At 53.6% G+C, this 10,716-nt stretch overlaps 1 protein-coding gene across 4 annotated transcripts in view; it reads left to right on the forward strand.

The window, feature by feature from the left end:
- Positions 1-3,979, forward strand: part of IGFBP2 (insulin like growth factor binding protein 2) — a 31,609-nt gene extending 27,630 nt beyond the window's left edge. For all 4 annotated transcript variants that reach the window (NM_001313992.2, NM_001313993.2, NM_000597.3 and 1 more), the window contains exons 2-4: positions 100-329; positions 1,401-1,541; positions 3,483-3,979. In NM_001313992.2, coding sequence (NP_001300921.1) covers positions 156-329; positions 1,401-1,541; positions 3,483-3,647 — 480 coding nt within the window. In that variant the 5' untranslated portion in view covers positions 100-155 and the 3' untranslated portion in view covers positions 3,648-3,979. The remainder of the gene's footprint in view (positions 1-99; positions 330-1,400; positions 1,542-3,482) is intronic.
- Positions 3,980-10,716: the final 6,737 nt, after the last annotated feature.

Genomic DNA, 10,716 nt, shown 5'->3' on the forward strand with positions numbered 1-10,716 from the left:
TCTCCACCCTCATCATCATTACGGTCCAGGTGGCTCCCGGAGGGCACGTCTCTCTGGGAAACTGGACCTGGAGCTTTTCTTCCCTTCCTCTCTTGGCAGACAATGGCGATGACCACTCAGAAGGAGGCCTGGTGGAGAACCACGTGGACAGCACCATGAACATGTTGGGCGGGGGAGGCAGTGCTGGCCGGAAGCCCCTCAAGTCGGGTATGAAGGAGCTGGCCGTGTTCCGGGAGAAGGTCACTGAGCAGCACCGGCAGATGGGCAAGGGTGGCAAGCATCACCTTGGCCTGGAGGAGCCCAAGAAGCTGCGACCACCCCCTGCCAGGGTCAGTGAGGGTCAGGTCTGGTGGAAGGGGTGGGAGGACAAGGAAAGTGGGGTCTCAGCTGGAGGAGGGCATCCTAATAAGACCCTCATCTGGTGTGACCTGTAGGCAAAGCACTTTTCTTTCCACAAACATAGTTGTGGAACATAGTTAGTGACCTTTGGGGCAGTCAGTATCTCTGGCTGTGAAATAGACTGGACATGTGGTTTCTTGATGTTCTTTCCTTCTAAAACCTTCACATTTCTGTATGGTTTTGGAACATAGACACAGAAAATGAATCCCAGAGATGAAGACAGAGTCCCTGAAACTTGCTTACTCTTTTTTTTTTCCTCCCCCTGAGATGGGGTCTCACTCTGTTGCCCAGGCTGGAGTGTAATGGTGCCATCACACCTCACTGCTGCCTCCAACTCCTGGGCTCAAGTGATCCTCCTTCCTCAGCCTCCTGAACAGCTGGGACTATAGGCATGCACCACCACACCTGGCCAGTTTTGTATTTTTTGGTGGAAATGTGGGTCTCACTATGTTGTCCAGGCTGGTCTCAAACTCCTGGACTCAAGCAATCCTCCCACCTCGGCCTCCCGAAGCGCTGGGATTACAGGCGCCAGCCACTGCGCCTGGCCTGAAACTCAGTCTTGTTGCCATATGCTTCTCTCACTGAGCTACCCCTCCCCTCTTTCCTGCCCAGCTCTGCCATCTTGGGTCCTGGCCCTGGTTGGTTTTATGGAAAGAAGTGGAGCTTGGGCATGGGGTGGGGGCATGGAGACTCGAGACGGCCACTTAGATGGATATTTGGAGGCAGAGCCCATTCTGACACATGAAAGCCACGGTCACAGAACAAGGAGAGGAGTGAACATTCCCATCCATACAATTTTCTTTAGGGGCTGGGGTTGGGCACCCAGCATGGCAGGGAGATCCCCGGGCAGGCTGTCAGAAGTCCCTGTGCCCCCTGCTGGCTGTGTGACCATGGGAAAGTCCCCTCCCTGTGCAGCAGCTTCTCGCTGAGCTTGCGTCTGGCGCGTGCTTCGTGGGCCTGCTGTCCTCACTCCGGGCGTCCCCTGCTGTCTGTGCGTGCAGACTCCCTGCCAACAGGAACTGGACCAGGTCCTGGAGCGGATCTCCACCATGCGCCTTCCGGATGAGCGGGGCCCTCTGGAGCACCTCTACTCCCTGCACATCCCCAACTGTGACAAGCATGGCCTGTACAACCTCAAACAGGTGAGCATGGTGCCAGCCTGGGCCAGAGCAGCTCCTCCTCAGCCCTGGGCCCCAGATGTGCCTTGTTTCTGCCCCACCCGCCTATGATCCTCTGAGGTCTGAGCTGAGTGAGAGACTCAGACTCCTGTCACCATGGGGATTGGGATGCCAGCTGCCAGGCCGGGGAGGGTGCAGCTCTTCTCCCTGCCTCCGACGGGTCAGTTGCTGGCTCCACTTGCCCAGCTGCCCACCGGCCTCACTTGGAGTCCAGGTTGGGAGGAGGCTCTTGGAGAAGGGAAGTGGCTTAAACCAAGCATCTTTGCTTTGATCGGACATTGACATCACCTGGAGCTCTTCCTGGGCCCGCCCCCAAATTGCCATGTGGTAGGTCAGGTTTACAGCTCTAACAAGCCTCAGGTGAGGCTCATAATCTGTGAGCCACACTCCCACCATCATTGATTTCAACCACTGGCCGAGTTGTCTTCATGGTTTCGAAGTATCTCAGGGAATGAAGAGTCAGGCATGGAGAAATGCCGTTGGAAAGATTCTGAAAAGCCATCTAGAACACCATTGTAAATACATTGGAGAAAATGAAGTTTAAGTAAACCACTCAGGAGCCCTTCTCCCTCCTCTATCCACCTTCTGTTCATATGCATTTTAACAGTCACTGTGCATATGCAATATTTTCCCTGTAACATACTTTTTTTTTTTTTTTTTTTGAGACGGAGTCTCGCTCTTGTCTCCCAGGCTGGAGTGCAGTGGCGTGATCTCAGCTCACTGCAACCTCCGCCTGCCGTGTTCAAGCAATTCTCCTGCCTCAGCCTCCTGAGTAGCTGGGATTACAGGTGCCTGCCACCATGCCTGGCTAATTTTTGTATTTTTAGTAGAGATGGGGTTTACCATGTTGGCCAGGCTGGTCTTGAACTCCTAACCTCAGATGATCCCCCCACCTCGACCTCCCAAAGTGCTGGGATTACAGGCATGAGCCACCACACCTGGCTGGGCATTGGGATTTTTATAAAGCTACCCTGGTGGTTCTAATGGCAGTCTGGGCTGACCTAAAGTGTGGATGTGTGAAGCCAGGAGATGGGAACAGGGCTCTGCTGATGGCTTAGGGGTCTCACCTCTCCACCCCCTTCACCCAGGCACCTTGACCCTCTAAATATTAGTTTAGTATTAAAAGCTATTTGTGTACATGCCCTCTAAATGTAAGCTGGCTAACTCCATTTGGAGCTCAGAAGAAAAAGTCTCGATCACTTCTCATGGGAAACAGGCTGTCTGCTGCACCTTTGGGTAACTAAAGTGATTTGCAGGAGTAGTTAGCTTATGCATAAAACAGAGACCTTGGAGTGGGAATGCCTGGCTTCCATCTCAGCTGTGCTTCTTACCAGCTGTGTGACCTTGGGCAAGTTGCTTAGCCCATCTGTGCTTCAGTTTTATCATCTGTAAACCAGGGATAATAATGGCATCTAATTCACAAAGTGGTTGTGAGGATTAAATGACTATATTTGTTAGAAACTGAACTAGCAGTGTGTCTTGCACACACAGTGCCTGGCACACACTGATTTTGATTGCAACATGAGGTTTTACACCTGACGCTATGACTAAGCTTCAGTATGCTGGGTCCCCCCCACTGGATGGGACCTCTTTGAGGCTGGGGACTGAGTCTTTTCATCTTCGGGTGTCCTGAATGGCCTTGCTAATCAGAGGGGTCCCTGGGCGGGCAGCATCAGCATCACGTTGGAGCTCGCTAGCGATGCAGAATTTCCAGCTCTCCAGGGACCTACTGCATGGGAATCTGCATTTTATCAAGGTTTCCTGGCGCATATTTGAAGTTGCGAAGCTCCACCCGGCAGCGCATGGGTAGCTGCAAGGGGTGGCTGCTCAGTGGACGCCGGGTTGAGGGACAGAAGGAAAGTTGCTGGCTGCGGGCTCCTCCATGCTCTTCTCCTCTCTCCCCAGTGCAAGATGTCTCTGAACGGGCAGCGTGGGGAGTGCTGGTGTGTGAACCCCAACACCGGGAAGCTGATCCAGGGAGCCCCCACCATCCGGGGGGACCCCGAGTGTCATCTCTTCTACAATGAGCAGCAGGAGGCTCGCGGGGTGCACACCCAGCGGATGCAGTAGACCGCAGCCAGCCGGTGCCTGGCGCCCCTGCCCCCCGCCCCTCTCCAAACACCGGCAGAAAACGGAGAGTGCTTGGGTGGTGGGTGCTGGAGGATTTTCCAGTTCTGACACACGTATTTATATTTGGAAAGAGACCAGCACCGAGCTCGGCACCTCCCCGGCCTCTCTCTTCCCAGCTGCAGATGCCACACCTGCTCCTTCTTGCTTTCCCCGGGGGAGGAAGGGGGTTGTGGTCGGGGAGCTGGGGTACAGGTTTGGGGAGGGGGAAGAGAAATTTTTATTTTTGAACCCCTGTGTCCCTTTTGCATAAGATTAAAGGAAGGAAAAGTAAAGTGTGTGTCTTTTGCCTGAGTCTTTGGGGTCTTCCAGGGAGAGATGCAGAGCCTGGCCTAGGTTGGCCTACCCGCCATCATCCAGCTTTGCCCCTGGCTCCTAGGAAAATGGGAAAGGCCGTTTCCGTTTCCCATTCATGAAATGGCAATAAGAAGGAATGGGAACCTCCTGAATCCAGATCAAACCCTCCAGTGCAGCCCCAGGACTCCCAGGTGAGGCTTCTGCCCCCATGTGGCCCCTGCCTGGCGCTGTACAGGGGCAGGATGAGTCACGGGCTGGGGATGGGGAGATGTGGAGCGTGGGTCCGGCTTCCTCCCTCGCACATTCAGATAACACTGCAGTGGGAGATAAGGAACAGGAAACGTTGGGATTGGGGTTGTCTGGCCCCTGAAATAAAGGAGGCTCCCTCCTGCCCAGGGTGAGACATTTCCACTCAGCCCCCAAAGAAAGGGAGTAGGGCTGTGGTTAACTGGCTTATTCATAAGGATGACACCACTGAGAATTCAGATGCTGCTCTCTAAGGGGCCCAAGGGATTTGGTGTCCAGACCAGCAAATATCAATTGAAACAAAGGGCTATGAGTGTGTCAAGGTGTGCAGGCTGAGGGACTGTGGAAGGAGGCACAGAATGTGGCCTTTCTTAGCAGAGTTCCACATCAGAGCTCACCTACATCTGCCATTCTGTTCTGCTGGCCTCTCAACTCCAGTGAATTCCAGGGGGCTTATGCACCCCGACCCCTGCCTTTGCAATGGGCCATGGGGGGAGAAAGCTCACCATTTGAGGCCCACAGTCCCTGCCCCCCTAACCTTCCTCGGTACGTGGCCCAGGGCCTGGCCTCTCCTGTCACTCCCCTCTCCTGTGGCTGGAGTCTGATCCCTTCCCACAGAGGAGGGGCTCCCTAGGGGCCTGGCCCAATCCACTACCTTCCAGACCTTCCATCTGGTGAGTGTAGGGAGGCGGAGGGATGGCGGGCCCTTTACCAGGTGTGACATAAGTGTAGCTGGAATGCAAGACAGCTTTTGGAAATGGCACAAGATGAGCTTTCTTGGAGTGCAGGAAAACCAGATCCCCAAGAATAGATGGAGCCATGCCAGGAGGGTGTGTTCTAGGCTGCACCGGGCCAAGGCCAGCACTTGGCCACAGCCCCAAAAGTATTCATTCAGCGGATCCTTGTGCATCCGTGAAACAGGCACTATTGTTAGTTACACTTTACAGATGAGGAAAAGTGTAACTAGAAGTGCCCAAACTCTCCTGCCCTGGGTCTGGGGACCCCTAACTCCAGCGTGTGGCAGCCACCCACCCCTGAGTTATACTGGCCCCGTGGATGGAAGCAGGTGAGACGCTTGGAGAGGGCCTAGAGGGCTCTGGGCACTGGATGGACCTGGAGCTTGAAGCTCAGCAGTCCCTGCATGGGGTCTGATTGTCTTTCATTCGGCGCATGCGTGCTGCAGCTGGCCCTTCCCCCTGCCCTCTGAGTTGCTGCAAAGAGCAGTCAGCCCCGGGGCTGCTGTCCCCAGGTGGAGCTGCTATCCCTGGGTGGAGCAGCCCGTGCCTGCCCTCCTGGGAAGCCTGGTGTTTCTCAACCTCGGTGAACATTTGACTCGACGGCGGCACTTAAAACAAAAACTGATGCCAGTACCTCAGCTTCAGACATTCTGATGTAACTGGTTTGCCATGGAGCCCAGGCAGGGTCTTTTTCCTTTCTTAGGTTCCATGGTGATTGTGAACCAGGGAGGGATAAGGCAAGAAAAAGGCCGGAGTCAGGACACCTGGGCTTGGATCCTTTCCCACCACTTCGTTTTCCATTGCCTGGGGCTATGCTGTCCACCTTCTCTGAGCCTGTTTTCCTCATCTGTCTATTGGGGATGTTATCAGCCTCAAATAGCAGGGTGGTATTAGTGTGAGACTAGATGTGAAGGTGCTTTGAAAACTAGGACTGTATAAAACGGGAGGGGTTACTATGGGGCCATTGTTGGGTCAGGTGTTTGCCAGACCTCACGCCCCAGGGCTGCCACCTTGTCCATTCTTTGAACTTTTCCAGAGGGCTTCTGAGGATGCCACAATCTCCTTGCCCATTTCCCCTCCATTACCCTTAGTGCTCTTGTACCCAACCCTCTGAAGAGGTAGCTTTTATGGGTGAGTGGGTGAGCAGCACCTCCGCTGTGGCTCTAGCTGCAGGAACCACACTCACTGATGTGCAGTGCAACCTAGAAACCTTTGCCGAGAGGAAGCATCATTGCATCCACGTGGGAAGATGGCTGGCTGGGCAGGGATCTTGAAGATGTCAAGCACATCTCTCACCTGGAACTAACTGTGCCTCTTTGAACGTTAAGCAAACACCGGGGCTATACTGCCACTGTGTGGCAGCATGCAGAACTGCAGCTGAGCCTACATCGGGCCCTTGGAGAGTCTGTTGCATTGAAGAGGAGTGGTCCAGAAGGAGTCAGCTGGAGACGTTGTTACCACTGGCCCTATCCCAGATCCCCTGAGTTAGAAGCTCGGGGAGGGGCCTGGGAGTCTGCATTGAAACTTGCTTCCTGTGTGGTTCTTATGGAGGACTGGTTGACTTCATTTATAGGATCCAGGGCAAAATAAAAATATGGAGTCCCTTATTCAGAAATTATTAAGAATGTCAAGACAGAAATAGCAGAACATTAAACTAAGTGTCAGCCTTGTATGACTGCATGGGTCATGCCCACGGGGCTATCCCTCTTCTTATGCTCTCTACATTTGGACAGTCACCACTGTCATCCCTGAATCTGTTTGATGTGTCTTGAATACTAACTACATAATAAGATGTGGTGGTTAAAAGCGTAACCATGGAGGTGAGGTAGTCTTTGAACAGAATCAGACTCTTGAGTTATGTGCCTTTGGACATATTTCTAACCTCTGTGAATCTCATTTACTTCCTCTTTAAATATTGGGATAGTTTCTATCTTAAAAGACTTGCTTTGAGAATATAAAATCATTTCTGTCACACGGTAAGTGCTGCCTAAATGTAGCTCTCGGCCTTGCATGGTGGCTTACGCCTGTAATCCTGGCACTTTGGGAGGCCAAGGCGGGTGGATCAACCGAGGTCAGGAGTTCAAGACCAGCCTGGCCAACGTGGTGAAACCCCGTCTCTACTAAAAAATACAAAAATTAGCCGGACTCGGTGGCGGGTGCCTGTAATCCCAGCTACTTGGGAGGCTGAGGCAGGAGAATCACTTGAACCTGGGAGGTGGAGGTTGCAGTGAGCTGAGATTGCACGAGCCTGGGCAACAGAGTGAGACTCCGTCATAAAAAAAAGAAAAAAAAAATAGCTCTCACTATATCCCAGGCTCGGTATTAGGATGTCAGGCTATGAAGATGATGAAGATGAAGAAGATTACAGCCTTTGTCCTGAAGGGCTGAGATTCTTGTGGAAGGAAACAGCCCCGACACCCAAAGATGGCCCTCCATGGATGGCGGTACCCCTCCAGTAGGGGATGTTGGGCAAGTTAGGAGAAATAGTTAAGTCTGGTGTCAGGGAAGGTGTCTCAGAGAGGGTGAAGGCAGAGTTGGAAGGAAGAAGCTGAGATTGGGGAGAGGAGCGGGAGGATGTACGTGCCTCATGCATGCATGTATGTGCAGGTGCGGGTGTTGGGGGCTGGGGTTCAGACAGAGGGAGCAGCATGCGCAGAGACTTTATCTTATTTTTATGTCTGTATTTATTTATTTTTAGAGACAGTGTCTTACTCTGTTGCCCAGGCTAGAGTGCAGTGGCATGATCATAGCTCACTGCAGCTTTGAGCTCCTGGGATCAAGCAATCCTCCCACCTACCTCATCCTCCCAAGTAGCTAGGACTACAGGTGTGCACCACCATGCCTGGCTAATTTTTATTTTGTAGAGACAGCGATCTCACTATGTTGCCCAGGCTGGTCTTGAACTCCTGGACTCAAGTGATCCTCCCACTTTGGCCTCCTAAAATGCTGGGATTACAGGAGTGCATCACCATGCCTGGCCGGCAAAACCTTTAAGTCACGAGCTGGACAATGAGCCTGGACACCGGCGCATGGTTGGGGATACATGTGGTGAAGGGAGGCGGCAGGTGGAAGAGGAACGAGAGGAAGAGGAAGCCAGGGCACATCAGGAACGACTTGGGGTGTGTTGCTGAGGGATTTGAACTCTGGACCAAAAGTTAAGTACCAAGGAAAGAAGTTAGGCAGAGGATGGGCATGATTGGTTTGGTGTTTAGAAAGTGAACTGGGCCAGGCACAGTGGGTCATGCCTATAATCCCAGCACTTTGGGAGGCCAAGACGGGTGGATCACCTGAGGTCAGGAGTTCAAGACCAGCCTGACCAACATGGTGGAACCCCATCTCTACTAAAATTACAAAATTAGCTGGGCATGGGGGCGCTCGCCTGTAATCCCAGCTACTCTGGAGGCTGAGGCAGGAGAATTGCTTGAACCCGGGAAGCGGAAGTTGCTGTGAACTGAGATTGCACCATGGCATCCCAGCGCAAAACTCCATCTCAAAAACAAAACAAAACAAAACAAAAAAACATGAACTGCAACTGTGATGTCCAGCGTGGAGGACAATACATGGTGTGGGATTGGGTGGAACATCCCTGCAGCAGGAATTGCAAGGATCCAGGGTAGAAGTGAGCATGATCTGAATGAACCAGGGCTGGGGAGATGGAGAGAAGGGCCGAGGGTGAGGGTGGTCCATGAGGTCACTGATTCCTAGCACCTGGTGGCTTATTGGATGGAAGGGGTAAATGAAGAGTCAGGACTGAGGCCGGGGGTTGGGCTTGGACAGCTGGGTGGATGCAGTGCCATTCTCTGAGACAGCAAACAGGAGGAGGAGGAGGAATGGGGAATAAGAGGAGGGGGCTAAAGAAGGATTAAGAGAAGGAAGAGGGATGGCTTAGTGGGGAAGATGATGAGTTCAAATTGTGTTGTTATTGAACTTGTACTTTGTAAAGCATTAGATAAAATCATAAGAGAGGCCAAGAGCCTGAGCTTACAGGATGAGTTCAACGTGGAACACATTGTATTTGAGTTGCTTGAGGGACACTGGGTGGAGAAGACATCCCTGACTTTCCCTCATTCTCATCCTGATGTCAATTCTTGAGCAAGGTCCATCAGTTCTGTCTGCAGGCCGCGGTTCCTCTCTATTCCGTCCTCCCCATTTCCTCTGTCACCAACACAGAGGGAGATGGGATGGTTGATGCGTGGGGGGCCGACAAGCAGGTGGGGAGCGTGCAGGAAGGGGCTGTTTTGGGAACAGAGGAGGACTGGCAGGGGAGGAGACAAGAGTGTGGCGGGCGGTTTTGTGGATAGCTTTGTAGGGGTTGGGATGGGGAGATGGGAAGGTTCTCACCTGCTGGCCTTGGTTTTCTCTGATAGGGAGAAGGTAAGGGTGTTTGCTAGGAGTGAGGGAAGGTGGTACCATGCATTGGAGAAATGAGGGTAATGTGGGGGAAATAATCCGATTAGGGGCCCCTAATAAGTTTCCCAGGCAGGATGTGGGGCCCTCGGAGCCTGGGGATTCTGGTGTGATGTCAGCTCACTCAATAGTGGCACTTTTCCCTGTGGGGCTCAGCAGTGCCATGCAGGAGGGACAGTGCTGACTGGACAGGGCTGAGGTGCTGCAGGGCAGGGGAGCCCCAGACAAGCTGATGCCAAGCATGGAGCTATGGGCTTCGGTCTCCTTAGGCAAAGCATCAGAGCCAGAGAGGGCTGATGGATTGAAAACTCAAGCGGGGTGAGCAAAGGCTCTCTGTCGTAAAATCGTCTCTGCTCTCTTGCCTCATTCTTCTCACTCTCATAGTAGACTACGATTAGAGTGGGAGAGTGGGGTTTTCAGATTTTAGATGTGGAATCTTGGGGGTCCCATGGCTCAGAGTGTGGCTTAAGTGGATGGAGGGGAAGGCAGATGGTGTGTGGCAGAGCTTGGACCAGCAGCATACCACTGGGGAGAGGGTGGGAGACACAGTTTCTGGGCTGCTGAACCGCGGGGACCCCAGGGGAATGGTGCTATCGCTAAGGGGCTGTATGGGTTGTCCCACTGAGCACGGGCAGTACAGGGTGGTGGGGAGACAGGAGTGGAGTAGTCCGTCCAGAGCCGGAATCATCGGTGGTCACGGGCTGTGAGCAGGGATTCACAGATGTGGGTTATATGGGTCGGAGGAGATGAAAGGGGAGGAAAGGACCACAGTGGTGGGGGATACAGTTGTGTGGGGGGCGGGCGTGAGAGCCTCTGGGGAGGAGCACTGGGGAGAAGGATCCCAGCTGGCACCTGCTCCAGGCAGTGTGCCTGCAATGGTAGGGTGAGCAGCTTCCCCCGGATAAGCCAGGAGACACTCTGGGGGCAGGAGGTGCCACGTGGGAGGCCTTCCCGTAGTTCCTTTTCCTGTCCCCCGACTTGAGGCACCTCTGGAAAGGAAAGCAGAGAAGGTGCCTTTTCCCTCTGTGCACCTCCTAATGCATCCTCCACCTCCTCCTCCTCTACCTCCACTGCTGGGCCCCGGTAGCCTGAGAGAGCCATGTGGGAGCCTCCCTGGCTACCCAGGTGACTGCAGGGCAGGCTGAGTGACAGGCATCCGAATCCTGTGCTCTTTGGCTGGATAGATTACTCTGTGAACTTGAGGGACCTGGTGCTCACAGGTGTCAGGGAAGCGGCTCAGCCACCCCAGAAGGAGGTGTGCCTGGTGACGAATCAGGCCATCGGCAAGGCAGGGACGCCCCAGTGACTCCTCTTGCCCCGTGACT

Source organism: Homo sapiens, chromosome 2 (genome assembly GCF_000001405.40).
Source record: "Homo sapiens chromosome 2, GRCh38.p14 Primary Assembly".
Taxonomy (NCBI): domain Eukaryota; kingdom Metazoa; phylum Chordata; class Mammalia; order Primates; family Hominidae; genus Homo; species Homo sapiens.